The sequence below is a fragment of the Homo sapiens genome, chromosome 4 (genome assembly GCF_000001405.40).
Source record: "Homo sapiens chromosome 4, GRCh38.p14 Primary Assembly".
In the NCBI taxonomy this organism is placed as follows: Eukaryota; Metazoa; Chordata; class Mammalia; order Primates; family Hominidae; genus Homo; species Homo sapiens.
The window spans coordinates 3,189,108-3,209,188 of NC_000004.12; the positions used below are offsets into that span (position 1 = coordinate 3,189,108).

The window sequence follows — 20,081 nt, forward strand, 5'->3', positions numbered from 1 at the left end:
TTAGTCTTCCTGGAGTGTCTCGTTCCCCATTCTGCACTATACACTCTCAGAGTGTAGGAGCTGTGCTGCCCGGTAGAAACTCTGCCTTGCCCAGTGTGCCAGTTGAAAATATTTGTTGCTGTAAGAGTACACCTGATACCATGTGACCCAGCAGTTCCACTCTTGGGTATATACCCAAAAGAATGGAAAGCAGGGTGGTGAAAAGATATTTGCATGCCAGCATTCATAGCAGCATTATTCACGATAGCTAAAATGTGGAACCAACTGAAGTGTCCCTCGATGGATGAATGGATAAGCAAAATCTGGTGTATATTTACAGTGGAATATTATTCAGCCTTAAAAAAAGGACATTCTGACACATGCTACAACATGGGTGACCCTTAAGGACATTATGCTAAATGAAATAAGCCAGTCACAAAAGGACAAATACTATGTGATTCCACTTACATGAGGGACCTGGAGTAGTTAATTCATAGATATAGAAAGTAGAATGGTGGTTGCCAGGGGCTGCAGGGGAGGGGAGTTATTTTTACAAGATGAAGAGAGTTATTCTAGAAATGAATGGTGGTGATGGTTGTATAACATTATGAATGTACTTAATGCTACTGAACTGTACAGTTAAAAATAGTTAAGAGGACCAGGTGTCATGGCTCATGCCTGAAATCCAAGCACTTTGAGAGGCCAAGGCAGGAGGATTGCTTGAGCCAAGGAGTTTGAGACCAGCCTCAGCAACATGGTAGGACCCCATCTGTACAAACAAACTAGCCGGGGATAGTGGTGTGCATGTGGTCCCAGCTACTCAGGAGACTGAGGCTGGAGGATCGCTTGAGCCCAGGAGGTTAAGTCTCTAGTGAGATGTGTTCATGCCACTGCACTCCAGCCTCGGCTATAGAGTAAGACCCTGCCTCAAAAAAACAAAACAAAACAAGACAAGAGCCAAAAATGGTTAAGATGGGCCAATCACAGTGGCTTATGCCTGTAATCCCAACACTTTGGGAGGTCAAGGTAAAAGGATCACTTGAAGCCAGGAGCTTGGGACCAGCCTGAGCAACATATCGAGACCCCTATCTCTACAAAGAAAATCAAAAACTAGCTAGATATGGTGGGCACATGCCTGTAGTCCCAGCTACTTGGGAGGCTGAGGTGGGAGGATCTCTTGAGCTCAGGAGTTCGAGGCTGCAGGGAGCTATTATTGCACTCCAGCCTGGGCTACAGAATGATACCCTGCCTCTTATTAAAAAAAAATCCAAAAAAAAAAAAAAGTAAACCTGAGAGCTTCCTCCTCCTGTGTTAAATTTGGAGGCCAAGATGTTTTTGTTACTTTTACAAATGATCAAGGACGGTGAAGGTTGGGCATGGTAGCTCACACCTGAAATCCCAGCACTTTGGGAGGCTGAGGCGGGGTGATCGCTTGAGCTTGAGACCAGCCTGGACAACATAGCAAGAGACCCCATCTCCACAAAAATAAAAAAATAAAAAAAAATAGCCAGGAGTAGTGGCATGAGCCTGAGCCCAGGAGGTCAAGCTGTAGTGAGCCATGATCATGCCACTGCACTCCAGCCTGGGCGAGATCGAGACCATGTCTCTAGAGAAAGAAAATGACAAGGACAGTGAACCCAAGAAAGTCATAAGATGCCAGCTGTGCAGCAAGCATGGAAAGCAGCCAGTCCAAATTAGGACAGTGTGTTTTCCAAGAAGAACGATCGTTTGTAATGAGAATGCTTTGCTTTAAATAAATGACTAAATAGCTAGAAGCCTAGTTCTAGGGGATAGGCACGTCTTTCTTCTCTCAAGAAAATAGAAAGGCAATTCTAATTTCTAGTAACAGCAAACAGCATTAAGTCATGGTCCAAATATGAGGCAAACCAAAATGTGGCTTGATTGTTCAGCAGTTGATCTGTTGGAAGCCCTTGATATTAAAAAGGTTCTCCTTTAAGCGGCTTAGGAGTCACGATCAAAGACCTATAGAAAGAGATGCCATCCTTCTAGGATCCTTGGCTCTCTTGGGAACTAGATTCAGATAGTCATAATGTAAATACTGCTTGAGCTTTCTTTCTTTCTTTCTTTCTTTCTTTTTTTTTTTGAGACAGAGTTTCACTCTTGTTGCCCATCCTGGAGTGCAATGGTGCCATCTCGGCTCACCGCAACCTCTGCCTCCCAGGTTCAAGCAATTCTCCTGCCTCAGCCTCCCGAGTAGCTGGGATTACGGGCATGCACCACCACGCCTGGCTAATTTTTTGTATTTTTAGTAGAGACAGGGTTTCTCCATGTTGAGGCTGGTCTCGAACTCCTGACCTCAGGTGATCCACCCGCCTCGGCCTCCCAAAGTGCTGGGATTACAGGTGTGAGCCACCGCACCCGGCCCGAGCTTTCATTTTTGAAATCAATGTATGACTGAAACACTGAAGACTTACTGACTTAATTATGGTTTCAGAACAGAATGAAAATGTCTTCGGTTCTGATGAATATAAAAGGAAAACTAACCAAGTTAATTTGGCAAGTAGATGGTAGAGATAGAGGTGGGGAGTGGAAGGGGAACTAAAATCTTCACCTAGCATTGTTGGGATTATATGGTTACATCATCTGAAGTTGACAGACCAAAATATAGAGGCTTCAGAGGTCTCCAAATAGAACTAAACATGTAATTCAGATTGTTAGGAGGTAGTATAAATGAGCTAAATCTCATCTTTATTACGGTAGAGTTAATGGGTGATGTCTAAAGTTGTCTGAAGTCTATAAATCATGACAAATTATGATGTGGTGATTGTATTCAACAGTCTTTCAGTTGCAGGGATAAAACCCCAGTTTAAACTAGAGTAAGAGAAAGAATGTGTTGGTTTAAGCTCCTGGAAAGTGCAGGCAAGGGTAGTTGGTAGGACTGCATCTAGTGTTGTAATTCTGTGGTCTGCATTGTATATTTATGCATCTCAGCTCTGCTTTCTTCTTTTCATTTATATAATTTTTAAATTTTATTTTAAAGATAGGGTCTCACTTTGTCGCCTAGGCTGAAGTGCAGTGGCATGAAGTGCAGTGCGAGGCTCACTCTAGCCTCGAACTCCTGGGCTCTAGAGTTCTTCCTGCCTCAGCCTTCTAAGTAGCTGAGACAATAGGCATGTACCAACATGCCTGGATAGGTTTTAAAATTTTTTTGTAGAAATGGAAGTCTTGCTGTGTTGCCCAGGCGGGTCTTTAACTCTTAGCTTCAGGCGATCCTCCTGCCTCTGCCTCCCAAAATGCTGAGGTTATAGGTGTCACCCACCACGCCCAGTCTCATCTCTGCTTCCTGTGTTAGTTTTGTTCTCTGGTGGGCTGTTTTCACATGACCGAAGATGACCTCTAGCAGGCTGTGTTCTCAGCCCCTCAAGTAGGCCTATGTGATTGGCCTTGCATGAGTAATATGGGTGACCATAAACCCCTGAATGCTCTGGTCCACATGGGCCAAATGGGAGACTGGACAGCATTCCATTGATGAGGAGGTGGGGCTGGTCTCCGGGAGTAAGGGAGAGGAGCACATGCAGTAACTGATGGTCTGCTGCAAGGGATAGCAGCACAGCAGTTAGAATTTTGGAGGTAACTACCAGAACTGAAAACAGAAATGATAACAAGTAGTTGCCTTAAAAAGGGATGGGAGCAGGGTGCTTTTGTGATCAAAGCTCCTTTCTCTTACTGGATTTTTGTACACATTTTGCATACATATCTTAGAGTAAAAGATAGCATTTTCAGCCTTGGTCCATTTGAGGATACTCTTGGCGTGGCCCGCCTCCATGCTAGCAGGCTCTGGTTGTGCCAAGTTCAGTTGAGCATCCTGGCTCTTGCCTGCACGGAACTTCCAGTCAGTGCGTCAGTATCACAAGTCTTGATATTTCCTATGAAGAAGAACAGTAGTGCAGTGACAGACGAAATGGGTGGGCAGGCAGAGGCAGGATTTCTGAGGGAGAGAAGTAGCTAGCTTTTTGCAGAGAAGAGTTCCGGCACCCAAGAGAGCAGCTGAGAGTACAGGCAGGCAGGCAGGATGCCGGTAGGGCCCGGCCGCACGGCGCCACAGAATCCTGGAGAAAGGGGCCTCTTCATGGCCTCTGCATTCAGCTGCTGTCACCCTCCGCACAGGCCATGGCCAAAATTTAATTTTCATAGTGGACTCTAGTTTTTGAGCCTTACTTGCTATTATTGAAATAATTTTCTTGTTTCTTTTTAAAGATCTTCGGATTATGCTTCACTGACCACTGTAATAAGTTTAAAGTTGAGAAAATATGGCTTGTTAATGAATGATAGGTCAATTTTAGTATGTTGGTCATTTTAATATTTTGCCACCAGTTGGTTTGGATTTGATGCCAGGAGGAGACAGCCTCATTTCTAAGGACTAGTCTTGCCTTTGTGGGATAAGGGTGGTGTGTTCTGTGTCCTTCTACATGTCCGAGCGATCTCTGTGCAGCTCAAATGTGGTCACTGTCTTATTGCGCTGATTTCCTCTCCTTCCATCTCACAATTGAGGCAAAATATTGTTACTGTTGAAGTGTTGTCCAATAGGACTTCCAGCAGAGACAGGATGTCTGCACTGTCTAATTTAGTTGCCTTTAGCCACATGTGGTGTTCTGTACCTGAAATGTGGCTGGTCTGATTGGATAGCTTAATTTATAATTTTATTTAATTTTAATTAACTTAAATTTAAACAGCTCTGTGTGGATAGTGGCTCCTGTATGAGACAGTGCAGGTCTGTTGAGAAGCAGCTTTACTGGTGGGAGTGGAGGGCTTGGAGAGGGCACGTGGGTTTCCTGCTGGTATCTTTTGACCTTATTTAATCTGCCCAACATTTGCAAGTAAGTTGTGTGTGTGTGTATATATAAATGTGTGTTTCTGTCTTCTTGTTTCCTTTGACTGCATTTATTTGAAAGACACTAGGTGGCAGAATTACTGTATTTGATTGGTTTCAAGATAAGAGTTGAAATAATTCATCTCGTGTTTTTATATAAGTAAGGTGTGTTTAGCATGTAAAATTGGTAATATGTATTCACGTACTGCTTAAACAAAGGCTATGAATTCCACCCATAAACCGAAAATGAAGACCTTTAAATTTGTCCATTTCAGGCGTGGGTACTTCTTAAATAATACCTGGTTCAGGAACTAGTCAGAATGGCACCCTTGACTTTTTGTTTCCTGCTTTTCCTCTTGTTGGGAGAGGAGGGTATTCATCCCAAAGTGGTTTGCCTATTTCACATTCCATCTAGGATAAGCAGAATAGCCAAGAAAGATAGCTGTCCTCCTGTTTACAACATTTGGGGTAACCAGCATCCCTCTCTTTTGGTCCAAGATAGACTGGTTTAGAAACAGATGATGGCACCAGAGGCCCAGGAGGTGGAAACATCAGCTTTGTTTGTTGTCCATGTGGCTGAATTAGAGCTGTCTGGCCTTGTAGCCTCAACACGGCCTTCCAGCTTTGCTCACCGTGATTTTCAAGGACACATCTTGTGCTCTTCCCTGCCTGCCATCCAGACTATACCCAGTCAGGGTGGCAGGAGCTGCTGCCCCTTCCTCCCTGAGTCCTGGTCGTGGGTGGTGGAGATGTGCCATGACGCTCACGGAGGCATGCTCACCCCTTCCTCTGTGGCAGAGGGGATGGCTGCACGACAGCTCTTCCCTGTCCTTTCCAAAGCGTCTGTGGTTCCACTTTTTGGGGCAAAGCAGGAATACTGGAAGAGAGAGAAAGTGGTCCTTTCTATAGTAATAAAGTTGACATTGATTCAAGTTCATGCTTGGGGAAAGGACAGGGCTACTAACAATTATAATGCTGGGAGCAATGGAATTTTCTCATGGGTATGTGGTAGGTTTAATTTTAATTATCCCAGTTAATTCTTAGAACTGCTCTGTGAAGTATTTCCCGCTTTGTGCTTAAGTTCTAAAAGATCCTGTGCCAAAACCAAGAATGAAAACCCAAGCATTCTTTCTTGCCCATCGATCTTTCTCTCATCAGGCCACTTCTTGGGTTGATAGTGGTGAGTGTAGCCGCTGCCACTTTCAGAATACCCACCATGGGCCCCAGTCACTGTGTGGCGTGGAGAAGAGATGGTTCTCTCTGTGTCATAGCTGAACAAGCCCAGCCCAGAGAGGTTTCTGCCCTAGGAGCTCTCGATGGTGGAATTGGGATGCGATCCCACATCCTGCCTGTTTTGAAAACAGCATTCTTTATTTCCAATTCCTGCTTCCATTGTTCCTTTTAATATTTCTTTGTTTAGCTCACAAAAACACGGCTTGCGGAGCTGCTGCGTGCAGCTGTAGCTGTTTCTCTGGGTGCAGCCTGCATCCGCCTTCCTGCCCGCCTCCTTTCCTGCACTGCCATCGTGGTCTCCGGGCACTTGGTCCCTTTCTCTTCCCCTGAGTCCCTTTGGCTCCCCTGTGCCACCCTTGTGATCCACAGGCTCTGCCTTCTTTCTGTCTCAGACTGCTGCTCATCACTACTCGGGACCCTAGGAAGGGAGGTTCCACCGAGAAGCATCTTCTCATCTCAGCCACGTTCTCAGTGCCACTGTTGTCTTTGTTAGGTAATGGTAGCTACTGTAACAAATAAACCAACATTTCCATGGCTTCACACCAGAGAAGGTTGTTTCTTGGTTTTATGACAATGTATTGAGGGTGTTCTTGGTTCACGGATGGTTTTCCTCCATGTGGGAATTCGGGGACCCAGGCTCCTTTCCTTCTTTTGGTTCTGTTCTCCAGGCCTTCACATCCTCTGTGTCTGGTTGGGGACAAGGAGAGGGAAGGTAAAGAAGGCTTTGTGGCCTTGGATAAGTGACAGGCATGCCTTTGCTGGTGTTCTCTCGTGGTGACAGGTCACAGCCCCACCCTGTAAAAGGGGACTGAGAGACGTCGTCCTGCTGCTTCCCAGCAGCAGCACTGTGGTCTCTGATGTGTTTTCTGTGAGGATAAAAACAGGTGATTCCAGGATGAGGAAAGTCAGGGAAACCCTTGGAAGGAGGGGACCAGGCGGGTGTCACCATGGGATTAGTGGTGGCTTCAGAATGAGCTGCAGCGAGTGCCATGCCTTCTAAAGCTTTTGCTATTCTGATATGCCCACACCATGCCCAGCAGGTGTCTGCCTTGCTCTCCGCAGAGAGAGTGATGAATCCTTCTCATGAGCCTCTGTCCAGTTGTTCCTCCCTCCACCTGGAAGGGACCCTGGGTTCCTCATAACATCCCAGCGGAACAGGGGACCTTCTATCCTGTCCCCAAGTTCATCCTCATCCTCCTGCCGGCTTCCTGGCCCCTCTTATGTCTGCTTCCTGACGCCACATCCTTCTGGATTCTCTGGAATTGAATTTTGCCTTTGATGCTTATTTAAAAATATCCATTGCAGGCCAGGTGTGGTGGCTCACACCTGTAATCCTGTGCACTTTGGGAAGCCAAGGTGGGCAGATTGCTTGAGCCCAGGAGTTTGAGATTAGCCTGAGCAACATGTTGAAATCCTGTTTCTATAGAAAATACAAAAATTAGCTGGGCATGGTGGCGCACACCTATACTCCCAGCTACTCAGGAACCTGAGACAGGAGGATCAATTGAGCCCCGGAGGCCAAAGCTACAGTGGGCTGTGATCGTGCCACTGTACTCCAGTCTGGTCAAACAGAGTGAGACCCTGTCTGAAAAAAAAAAAAAAATCCATTGCATACTTCACCGTAGCGAAACATGTATGTCTTACCTTTCCTTTCCTGCCTGTAGCTGCTCTTTTACACTTAACAGCCACACTAAGCCAGCCTTAAATGAAAAACAAACCAGCACTTCCTGTGCCCTCCTGCTTCCTTCATGAGGGGTCCCTCCCTCTGTGTACACTCCATTCTCATTGCCCATGGTGGTTTGTTTCCCTCTTGTTTCTCAAGCCATGGCAGCCTGCCTCTTGCCCTCTTTACTAAAAAGGCCTTTGCAGAGGCTGCCTGTGTTCTTTCTTTCTAGGTCTCTCTCATCCTAGGCCCTCCAGCTTGATTCTGTGGAGCTGCCCTCTTGTCACTCAGTAGCTTGTGGGGTCTTCTCTGTCTAGCCACTTAATTGATTGTGTTCCTCGAGTTGCTGTCCATGGTCTCTCGTTACTGTTTTCTCTGTGTTTCTGCCTCTCTCCTTGGCCTTGGTAGGTCCATCCCCTTTGTGACCTTGGCTGTTGCTCTCATGGACAACTTTCTCTTGCTGGTCCTTGTAGTCCTGGCATCCAGCTTCTCGACACGGGACTTGTCCTGCCAGTACCTCAGACTTGCACTTAAAATTGAACTAGCACCACTGTCACTCTCCAGGGCCTCTTCTTGTTAATTAGATCATTAGGGATGTTCAGAATCCCAGCATCATAGTATGTTCCTCCTCCCGCTACCCCAGGAACCCTAACCTTACCTCCTCCTCTCTATCTACTAGGAGGTGGCCCTCAGAGTCCGTCTCATCTTCCACCTGAACTTCCCTAATAGGCTCCAGCAGCTGCCACCCCGGGGGCTGAGTACTTCCTCCATGCCTTGTGCAGTGCTGAGCCCTTTACCTGGGTTCTCCTGTTTGCTCCTTATTACAGCCCTGCGAACAGATACTGCTCTTAATTCCATCTTACACCTAAGGAAGCTGAGGCCCCAGGTAAGGTGCATCCAAGGTCACCCAGGTAGTAGACAGTAGAGCCACGATCTGAACCAGGCAGTCTGATTCAGAGCCTGTGTTGACACTCAGCCACCTAGAACACAGCTTGGATTGTGGGTTTCTATTACCTGTTCAAAACCCCTACATCCCGGGTCTGTCCCTGCACGTGCTCTGTGGCCTGGCTGCATCTTCCTTGAAGGCAGTGCATGCCTCTTCACTCAGGGGGCCCATGCAGGAACAGAGGGCCCCACAGAAGGATGAGGCCAGTGCAGAATGGGCTGGAGGGGACAATGCTGACCAGGAAGCAAGTGTAGAGAAATCCCAGGAAACCTGGAGGAGCCAGAGACAAGGCATTAGAACTCCTCGTCGTGACCTGGTCTGCATTCTCTGAGTGTGCTGCTTCTGTTAGCTCGCTTCCTTGGTCTCAGGTTATAGTTTAAGGCATTGTGGAGCCCTAAAAAGCCTGTACTCTGTTTTTACCTGTTTTAGGACCCTTTCACTTTGGGGATGTGTTGATTTTTTTTTTTTTTTTTTTTTTTTTTTTGAGATAGAGTCTCGCTCCATTGCCCAGGCTAGAGTGCAGTGGCACGATCTTGGCCACTGCTGCCCCTGCCTCCTGGGTTCAAGCAATTCTTGTGCTCCCGCCTCCCAAATACCTGGGATTACAGGCACCCGCCACCACACTCGGCCAATTTTTGTATTTTTAGTGGAGACAGGGTTTTACCATGTTGGTCAGGCTGGTCTCGAACTCCTGACCTCAAGTGATCTGCCCACCTTGGCCTCCCAAAGTGCTGTGATTATAGGCGTGAGCCACCACACCCGGCCTGAAATTTAAATCAGAAATAAAATTTTGATCCCAACAGTGATGCCAGGCAGCCCAGATCTGGGGGAGAGGGTGGCCTTGGCCAGCTGGGCCTTTCTCTGTTTCCCAAGTCTTGCTGCCTCTCCCTGCTGGGCTTTGCAGCCTGTGCATGTCTCTGTGCCTTTGACCTTGTTTATCCAAAGGAGAGGATAGAATGAAGTCATGATTCCTGGAGCCCTGAGAAGGATGCTGTGGAGAAATTTGCCGGTAGAATCTAGCTGAGTGTGTTGCTGAGGTGCCAGCATTGTGTGTGGGGAGGCTGACCGCTTGGCCTGCCTAGGCCCAGGATGCTCCATGGCCGGGCACAGAGGCCACTTGGCTGTCAGGTGTCAGGAGCCTGCAGAGGGCACACAGAGCCTGGACCGCAGGGGGGTCCTGCTTTCTCACCTGGCCTCCTTCAGCATTTCTGTCCCTCAGTCCTTAGCAAGCCCAGGAGCTGTTGAGTTTGGCAGGTGCCGAGTGCTGTTCCTGCCTGTGTAGCTGTGGCTCAGTCCTGTGGGGGCCCCGCTGTGGCCCGAGTGCAGTGATTCGAGGCGCTGAGTGTTCCCTGACTCCTTCTCCAGGAGCTGTGTTCAGACTTTCGCAGCTCTTGGCTTGGAGCTCCTGGAGGGCTTGGCATTGCCGACCAATGTGGAGGTCGACAGTGAGAGAGGAGGAATGCTAGCTTTCTTGACCAGTCCATTAAATAAGTGGGATATTGGCCAGGCACGGCGGCTCACGCCTTAATCCCAGCACTTTGGGAGGCTGAGGCGGGTGGATCACGAGCTCAGGAGTTCAAGACCAGCCTGGCCAACATGGTGAAACCCCCTCTATACTAAAAATACAAATATTAGCTGGGCGTGGTGGCAGGCGCCTGTAATCCTAGCTACTTGGGAGGCTGAGGCAGGAGAACAGCTTGAAACCGGAAGGTGGAGTTTGCAGTGAGCCAAGATTGCGCCACTGCACTCCAACCTGGGCAACAAGAGCAAAACTCTATCTCAAAAAAAAAAAAAAAAGTAGGATATCTGTTTCTGCTTAGAAAAATCAGAATTTTCTAAATGCCAGGTGTTCTGAATACGTAAGTATGGGAGACGACTCAGCCTGTTTCATTTTTATGTAAAATCTTCGCGTAGCCATGTGGCACTGGACCGAGATGAAAGCAAAGACATTTCTCCTTAACTTTGTTTCTAGGAATGTTCCGGAGAATCACAGCAGCTGCCACTAGGCTGTTCCGCAGTGATGGCTGTGGCGGCAGTTTCTACACCCTGGACAGCTTGAACTTGCGGGCTCGTTCCATGATCACCACCCACCCGGCCCTGGTGCTGCTCTGGTGTCAGATACTGCTGCTTGTCAACCACACCGACTACCGCTGGTGGGCAGAAGTGCAGCAGACCCCGAAGTAGGTTCATAATGCCCCACAGCCCAGGGCGCCAGCCCAGCACCCTGTCCTGAGACTCCCAGTAACCTGAGCTTTGGCCACCGTTAAAGCATTTTCATTTTCCATTTTTTGTGAGGGCTTGTGAAATTTCTGCTGCATATTAATATTCCTTTCATGGACAGCATATTATTGGGACAAACATGCGGTCCAGCTAAAGGCATTCAAAATAGCAGTTGCTTTCTAAATGCGATTTTCTTTGGCAGGTTCTTTGACACCATTGCATCTTGTGGGATATGCTTGTCATGCTCTGTGGCTCCTACTAAGTTCTAGTCCTTAAATTGGTTCCATAGCCAGACATGTTGCAATGTCTTAACCTCATTATAAAGTAAATGTGGTTCTGGTTATCCTTAGATAATGAAGTAACAGTGTAGCAAATTTCAAAACCTCTTGGAAATGTTATTTTACCATTCAAAAAGGCTTACTAAGGTTCTCGTTATGGGTGGCCCTCTTTTTGCAAAAGGTTTTCAGGCTTAAGCTCCATTTCTAGGTGCTCCAACACTCCATTATTTGTATATGTATGGAAATAAAAGCTGTGACCACCCCCAACCCTGGCCCCCGCCCAGCTGAATCCTCAGCACAGTATTTCTGGAAGGCTCAAGATCCCACGCTGGGGAAAAGAAGTTCTGGAGACAAAAGAGGGCAGGTGCTGCCGTGCCTCTCTGCTCAGTATGGATACTGGACCTTGTGCTGCCAGGGCTCCCAGTAGGGCCAGTTCATGGCACTCAGCTGGAAAGTCCACTGTTGGGAGGCATTCTTAACCATCCACTCTGTGCCGTATGTAGTGGGGTCTGGTCATTCTGTTGGAGGAGACAGACCAGTGACGACATTTGAAATGCTTGGTGGATGTCTTAGGCCTGTTACGATGACTGAGCACTGTGGGGGCAGGAGACAGAAAGTCAGTGTCTCCTAGTTCTGTGCTGCTTTAACGTGCATAGAAATCAGCTGCGGATTCAGCAGATCACTCCTTTTCTGACAGATGGGCCTGCTTACTCTGATGTTATATCAGAAAGCTCTGAATCTGGGAATTGTGTCCCCTGAATTGGAGTAACAGAAATGCTTAGATGATGAGTGTTTAAAAGAAATAAACCAAAGGTAAATTTAGTTTGGAATTCAGCAAGCGTCTTCATTCAGCCCTCTGAGGGCAAACTACAGCTTTTTGTAAATGTAGGTAAATTCTGTGACTGTTTCGTGACCCCCTCTGATCCAGTTTTCCTTTATAACCTTCTGTATTGTTCCTTCTATTATCCTGAAATAACATTAATAGATTAGGCTGGGCGTGGTGGCTCATGCCTATAATCCCAGCACCTTGGGAAGCCAAGGCGGGCAGATCACCTGAGGCCAGGACTTCGAGACCAGCCTGGCCAACATGATGAAATGCTGTCTCTACTGAAAATAACAAAAATTAGCCGAGCATGGTGACAGGTGCCTGTAGTCCCTGCTACTCAGAAGGCTGAGGCGGGAGAATCGCTTGAACCTAGGAGGAAAAGGTTGCAGTGAGCTGAGATCGCGCCACTGCACTCTAGCCTGGGTGACAGAGTGAGACTCCATCTCAAAAAAAAAAAAAAAAAAAAAAAATTAATGGATCAATGGATTTTTAACCTAATAATTAAATTTCAAAAAATATCGTTCTTTAATGGTAATGTAAAGGTAAAATTAAGATAATATGTAACAAGCATGTGAGTGTCTAAGGTGTCCCCGTGGTGGAAGGAAAAAATAAATCCCCATAAGTGTCCAAGATGCCCATAGAGAGCAGAGCTGTTCTGGTTTAAACCCCTGCTCTTAGCACTGTGTTTTTCCAGCTGTGGGTGGTGGGGGATGAGTATCTTTTTATTTCCATGAGATGAGAAAAATGAATTACTAGAAGTGTGAAATACAAAACACAGCTGCTCTTTTTTTAGCCATAGACTCAGCAGCCATAAAATTGCTGTATCCAGTTGCAGAAATTCCTGCTGCTTACTCTTGACCCTCTCTCGGTTTGTGTGCATCTCCTCTCAGGCTGGCTCCCAGATGGGAGCTGGCTCCAGGCGACACTGGGTGCTCTGCTCCAGGAGGTCCTTATGTGGGTCCTGCCCTAGCCTAGCCCCTCTCTTATGGACTCTGTCACTGTGGGTTTATGATTCACTCTCAATCTGTCTTACCTCTTGGTGAACTGTTAGAGTCCTGCCTATACTTTGGCGCTTGTGGGTGTGTTGTGGTACACATGATGTGTTGGTCACTTCCCAGCTCATCTTGTTCTGAGTCACCCTAGATTTGGGACATTCATTCGCCACCAGTACCGGGCGGTGTATGGCCTGAGATTTGGGGGGGCTTGTGCTGCTACAAATTGGGGCTGAATTTGAGTTGACAGTGGACCTTCTTTATGTCTACTGCTCATATTTGAATTGCAAATACTGCCTCTTCTCTTTCAGAGGCTCATTACCCTATAGCTGTATTATTGCAAAGTGCACAATTACAGCTTGAGTGTAAGTCACACTGCGCTGGCAGGACGGCCCACTGAGAAAGGGCACGTTTCCTGTTCGTTAGTTTTCACATTGACACATAATTTACAATACAGTAAAATGTACTTTTCTATCAACTGTAGTCAGTAACAGCCCCCCTCCCCCAACCACATCAAGATATAGAGGAGTGCTGTCACTTCAAACAGTTCCCTCTTCCTCTGCCACATCCTGCCCCTCCCCAGGTCTAACCACCAATCCGTGCTCTGTCCCTCTGTTCAGCCCATTGCAGAAGGCCATAGAAATAGAATCTATAGGCTAGGTGTGGTGGCTCATGCCTGTAATCCCAGTATTTTGAGAGGCTGAAGTGGGAGGATGACTTGAGGCTGGGAGTTCAAGACTAGCCTGGGCTGCCTAGCAAGACCCCATCTCCAGAAAAAAAAAATTTAAAAATTACAATCACGTCCCTGTAGTTCAGCTGCTTGGGAGGCTGAGGCAGGAGGATCACTTGAGCTCAGGAGTTAGAGGTTACAGTGAGCTATGATCGTGCCACTGTGCTCCAGCCTAGGTGACACAGCAAGACGTTGTCTCTGGGGAAAAAAGAAAGAAACGGAACCACGCGGTGTGCAGCCTTCTGAGTCTGGCCCCTTTCGGTGAGCAGTGTCTAAAGTTCTGTCGCGTGTTGCCCACGCGTCGGTGGCTCGCTCCTTGCAACTGCTGAGCATTGTATGGCTAGGCTGTAGTTTGTTTTCACTTCACCAGTTGGGAAACAGAGAAAAGGCACTTTTTAAAAAGTTTAAATCTGTAGAATTTTGGTTTTTACCAGTTCTCTTCTAAATCCTGAGGGATTACAGGAAAAGTTGTTGTATTTCAGAATATTCTTAGCTTGATGTGACCTCTGTCCCCGTTAAGGCCCTTTGCCGCAATGGGAAGGACGTCGCTCGGTCAGACCCTGAAGGTCAGAGGGGCAGTTTGGGAGTGTGTCAACATTTTAACTGTATGGACTAGAGCCAAGAGTCTCAAGGTTTATAATTCCCACGTATTCAAAAAGAAAAAAACAATAAAGTGAGAAGTCAGTGTAGAGTGAAATAACCTGTGTTAGTGGGGAAGAAGTGTTTTTAAACAGGATTTCCATAACGTATAACATCAACATGTTTAGAGTGGTGATGTTTCATTGGGAAACGAACAGTAAAACATGAAAGCAGGGAGGTTTTCATTCTGGCAGTTGGCAACTTTCACGGCAGATGGAGAATTTCAAAAGCAATTGCTCAATTATCAAACATAGCCAGTGTGAGTTCTGAAATAAAGGTGCTGATTGAATGTGCAGCTTTATGGTGGATTTTGCTATTCAGGCAAGCATTTTAATTTTCTGCCTGTTAAATTCTGTTTTCTTTAGTTTTTCATATGTGGTTTATTGTAGCTTAGGAATAGATAACTGAGAGTATATATTACACATACAACATTCTGATATGGCAATATTTAAAACAACTTGTCTGTTTTAGAACTAGAATTAAACATAATCATCTTCAGTATTTTGCAAATAAGCTCACTGCCATCCAGAAACATTGTCAATGCATCTGTTGCTCCTTCTAGAAGACACAGTCTGTCCAGCACAAAGTTACTTAGTCCCCAGATGTCTGGAGAAGAGGAGGATTCTGACTTGGCAGCCAAACTTGGAATGTGCAATAGAGAAATAGTACGAAGAGGGGCTCTCATTCTCTTCTGTGATTATGTCGTAAGTTTGAAATGCCTGTAAACGGGGTTGAGGGAGGTGGGGACCAGGAGAACATCCTGTGTAGATGACACTTGCATGGACCCTCTGGAACCCAGACCGCCCGGTGTCCTGCCAAGCTCCATCGAAACTAAATCTAGAATGAATGTTTACTTCTGCTGTGACATATAATTGGAGACCAGGCCTGGCCTTCCAGTCACTGGATTCTAAGTTGGACTGTGAGAGTTTTTGCAGCTGACTCATTTATCAAATGCCCGGCTATTGGCTCACGCCTACATGATGCTGGGTATGTTTGTTAATTTGAGGGAAGCAATGGAATAATAATAACTAATGATTTAAAAAACAAAGTAAGTGCATTGACTGTAGTGGGGTTCTGATTTTAAATTTTTTTAAAAATTAATACCAGGAGCAGTGGCTTATGCCTAAATTCCAGCAACTCGAGAGGCTGAGGTAGGAAGATCACTTGAGCCCAGGAGTTTGAGACAAGCCTGGGCTATGGTGTGAGACACCCATCTCTAAAAAAATAAAAAATAAAAAATTATCCAAGTGTGGTGGCTCGTGCCTGTAATCACAGCTCTTTGAGAAGCTGAGGGCGGAGGATGGCTTGAGCCTGGGAGTTCGAGACCAGCCTGGCAACACAGAGAAACCCTGCCTCTACCAAAAAAAGAAAGAGAGGAAGAAAGAAAAATTAGCCTGGCGTGGTGGTGCATGCCTGTGGTCCCAGCCACCTGAGAGACTGAGAAGGGAGGATTGCTTGAGCCCAGAAGTTTGAGGCTGCAGTGAGCTGTGACTGTGTCACTGCACTCCGGCCTGGGTGACAAGGCGAGACCCCTGCTCTAAAATAATTTTTTTAAGTTAATTTGTAGAAAAGGTGTTAGATGTTCTTTGTCACATTTTATGATGGATTCCTGTTTAAATGCCGTTCTCTTTAAAGAAAAAAAAATAACTTGTGGGAGTTTTTAACCATAAAACTAGCATCACATATTTACCATGGAGAATTTACAAAAAAACAAATAAACGGAGGAAAATAAAACCTCCTGTAATCATACTACTCAGAGATAACTTGCTGTTAGATTTTGGTCTAGATTTAATACTTTTTCTATATTTATATTAAAAATATTTAAAACATATGCATTTCTTTGTCACAAACATGGTATCTTATAGATACTACTGTCACATAGCAAAACAGTGTTAAATATTCTGAATCAGAAAAGGAAGCCGACTCTCCAACTGAAAGAGGTGTTATCCTAGAGACTTTTTCTGGTGATGACAATTTATTAATAGTCACTTTTTGCTTTACTTTCTCTATTGAAGTAGTTTTTCTATTTTGTTCTACTTTTAAGGATAATATAATTTATAATGCTGTTTTTCACAGAAATATAAGAAAAAAGATACTAATTTTATAAGTTAATAAAGTTTGATCATCCCAAATCCAAAAATCTGAAATCCAAAATGCTCCAAATTCTGAAGCTTTTTGAGTGCTGACATTATGTTCAAAGGAAATGTTCATTGGAAGGTTTCAGATTTTCGGATTTAGGGAGCTCAACAAATAAGTATAATGCACATATTTCAAAACCTGAAAAAAATCCTAAATTCAGAATACTTCTGATCCCAAACATTTCAGATAAGGGTTATTCAACCTGTACTGTCAGATGATCCCAAATGAAAAATATTAATCGTTAACCAAATATCAAGGAATTGATCACATTTTACAGTTTCTGCCTAGGATTATGAATCAAGATGAAAAGGCTCTGCATGTTTAAAAATATATATTTTTATTTTCTTATAAATCTTAAATATCTACACTTAAGATTTATTTGATATGTGGGATCCATTCATATTTTGGATTCAACAGTTCTGTCAAAACTGTGGCAGTGATAGGGGATTCTTTTTTTCCCACTGAACTATCACAAAATTGGAAAAAGAGTAATTGGAGAACCCCACTGGCTTAGCCGGCCCGAAGCCCGGGAGAGGGCAGGCAGTGCTGTGGATGGGGTCATCCCAGCGCAACGCTGCCCCTGCTACCTGCGGATCTCGCTGAGGCCTGCCTTTGTCCTTTGACCCTTGGCCATTTGTTAGTGTCTCTGAGAGCTGGACTGCTGTACCCTACTTCCCCAGGGGGCCTAACTTCACACAGCCTCTGCCGCAGTGCGTGGTTGGAGGTGACGGCCTTGGTAAATCGAGTTTCCTACCTCCTCAATTATTTGTGCTCATACACTGTATATTTTTAGTGAGGTTTATATTTGGGATGTGTTTTCTCCTTCTTACCCTTTCTGGCCTTTCTATGGCATTAATACCTGGTCTCTTCTTGTGTACTTGAAAATGAATCTCTCATCATATTTTTCCTTAGTGTCAGAACCTCCATGACTCCGAGCACTTAACGTGGCTCATTGTAAATCACATTCAAGATCTGATCAGCCTTTCCCACGAGCCTCCAGTACAGGACTTCATCAGTGCCGTTCATCGGAACTCTGCTGCCAGCGGCCTGTTCATCCAGGCAATTCAGTCTCGTTGTGAAAACCTTTCAACTGTACGTCTTCATCCTGCCGACTATTGCCAGTTGCAGTTTTCCCTGCCTTAAAAATGGAGTATTGAAATTTTTAACTTTAATTTCTGATTTGCAAAATAGTCATCTTTTGTTCTTTTCCTTCTTGCTGTTAGCCAACCATGCTGAAGAAAACTCTTCAGTGCTTGGAGGGGATCCATCTCAGCCAGTCGGGAGCTGTGCTCACGCTGTATGTGGACAGGCTTCTGTGCACCCCTTTCCGTGTGCTGGCTCGCATGGTCGACATCCTTGCTTGTCGCCGGGTAGAAATGCTTCTGGCTGCAAATTTACAGGTATTGGGAAGAGAAACCCTGATATTGATTTATATTGAAAATTTAGCAGGCCAAGCAAAACAGGTGGCTGGCTTTTTCCTCCGTAAGTATGGTCTTGACATGGTCACCGATAGAAACATGGAAACATCTGCAAACTTGCCGTTACTCGTGTGTCCGATCTGACTGTTTCTTGTATTTTTTTCTAGTCTGCCCTTACTAGGATGAACTGTACACATCAGTTCATCCTTTTTAAATGAGCATGAGGTTATTTTGGGTTGTTAGGTGTTACAAACACACTAATGTGTTTTTGTCTATTAGAGCAGCATGGCCCAGTTGCCAATGGAAGAACTCAACAGAATCCAGGAATACCTTCAGAGCAGCGGGCTCGCTCAGAGGTAATGCTGGAAACACAGGTCGTCCTTGTGTTAGGACAACCCAGGATATAAAGGATATAGATTTGTACGGGAATAAATTCACAGGACAAGAAATCGATGTGCCTTATAGGTGGGTTTACTGCAGAAGTGCCATAATAGAACCTTCCTACTTTTAAAACAACCAGATCTCACTTTCTAAAGAGTAAAGGATGACCGGCAGGATCACGTCTGTGACGTGAGTGGAGGCAGTTTGCACTCCTGGTGGCTGTTTGAGAGGTAGCATTTAGAATGCCTGTATTCACTGTCCTGTGATGAGTGGGAAAATAGGTTATCAGGTTTATCTTAGCAAAATCAAAGCATGTCATCTAATTGCTAAACAAGAGTTGGCAAATCTGAGAGACATTACTCAATCCTTGGCATGCAGGACTTACATCTGCATCCTGTTGCCATTTTATGTCTTCAAAGCATTTAATCATTTAGTTGTGTTTGCAAAGTCTTTGAGAAGCCTTTGTCAGAAATCCCTACATCTCCTATGTGAGTGTATTTCCATGACTGCAGAATAAGTTAAACTTTTACCTTTTTCCTTCCCTTGCGGGGCGGGGTGGGGGGCAGGGATTGTGTGTGTGAGAGGGAGAGAGAGACAGCAGAGAAGGAGAATATAATTATCATGCTGTGTACTTTGAGCTGAAACTGCAAAAAAGGAAAAACACACAAAAATTATTATGCTTTTCAGTCTTTAGAGTACCTTGTCTATTATGCTTTTCAGTCTTTAGAGTACCTTGTTGATGGTGTTTTTAAATGGGATTGGGCACAATTAGGTGGACAGTTTGGGATGATTTTTCAGTCTGTAGGGCCAAGCTCTTTTGTAATTTGCATTATGAAGTTGTCACTCTCATAGCAGATGGCGGGAGATAAACTATTATTACTTTTTGACCCTAGACTTAGTCTTCAGTCCAGATGAGGGAGATTAAAAGATTATAAATATCTTGTGCCAGATGAGGTGATTTTATTTTGAAATGACCATGAATTCCTATCAGTTGTCTTACTGGGATATTTGATAGTGGAATTTGTGCATTTGAGTCTTAGATGATCTGTTTTACATTTATTAAGAAAGCCTTTATTAGCTTTTATACTGTGTATTGCCTGTTGCAGTGTTTGAGTATAAATGAAATTTCTGGAAAATATTAATGGAGTACAAACTGTGATACTTAAAAGTAAACTAGGGCCTGCATTTGTATCATGACCTGTTTGAGTATTGATGAGAAGATAGCTGTGAAGAAAAAGGTTTAAACAAGTGTATTTTCCTTTAAGAAGCCACTAATAGTGCATCTCCTTAGAGTGTATATTTCTAGAATCCTAGTGTGCAGAGTTTAGACTAAGACTAAAAAAAAAAAAAAACAAATTATACTGTAATTTCATTTTTATTTGTATTTTAGACACCAAAGGCTCTATTCCCTGCTGGACAGGTTTCGTCTCTCCACCATGCAAGACTCACTTAGTCCCTCTCCTCCAGTCTCTTCCCACCCGCTGGACGGGGATGGGCACGTGTCACTGGAAACAGTGAGTCCGGACAAAGTAAGTGTCCAGCGTGTCTGCATGGGAGGCACAGGGCGCTGAGTGCCTCTGTCACCTGTGGCAGATACAGAGAGTGCAGAGGAGGTGCCGTGGACCCAAGGAGTTCTGGCGCTCGGCTCGGCTCAGTGAAGCTGTGGTTAGAGACGTGGGGGGCCATCAAGGTCTGAGGGAGCCAAGCAGTGCTGATGTGGGACCCTTTTGGTAGGAGTGTGGGGTGAGTAGTTAGTGGGTGAATCAAGGAATAGTCGGCCGTGGCCTGCAGGCCCCTGACTGCACA

The 20,081-nt window shown here is 45.3% G+C and overlaps 1 protein-coding gene across 2 annotated transcripts in view, besides 2 other annotated features; it reads left to right on the forward strand.

Annotated features, from left to right (window-relative positions):
• The window catches only part of HTT (huntingtin), a 169,280-nt gene that overhangs the window by 114,427 nt on the left and 34,772 nt on the right, over positions 1-20,081 (forward strand). For both annotated transcript variants that reach the window (NM_002111.8, NM_001388492.1), the window contains 6 exon segments: positions 10,625-10,832; positions 14,900-15,041; positions 17,389-17,568; positions 17,700-17,876; positions 18,174-18,250; positions 19,666-19,804. In NM_002111.8, the coding sequence (NP_002102.4) occupies positions 10,625-10,832; positions 14,900-15,041; positions 17,389-17,568; positions 17,700-17,876; positions 18,174-18,250; positions 19,666-19,804 (923 nt within the window).
• Positions 13,950-14,049: a silencer, noted in NCBI's record as "silent region_15201". NCBI's record gives its function as "represses an Ori minimal core promoter by ATAC-STARR-seq in GM12878 lymphoblastoid cells {active_cell/tissue: GM12878}" and the evidence as "EXISTENCE:reporter gene assay evidence [ECO:0000049][PMID:35858748]".
• Positions 16,975-17,269: an enhancer, noted in NCBI's record as "tiled region #10599; HepG2 Activating DNase matched - State 5:Enh". NCBI's record gives its function as "activates a minimal TATA promoter and a strong SV40 promoter by Sharpr-MPRA in HepG2 cells {active_cell/tissue: HepG2}" and the evidence as "EXISTENCE:reporter gene assay evidence [ECO:0000049][PMID:27701403]".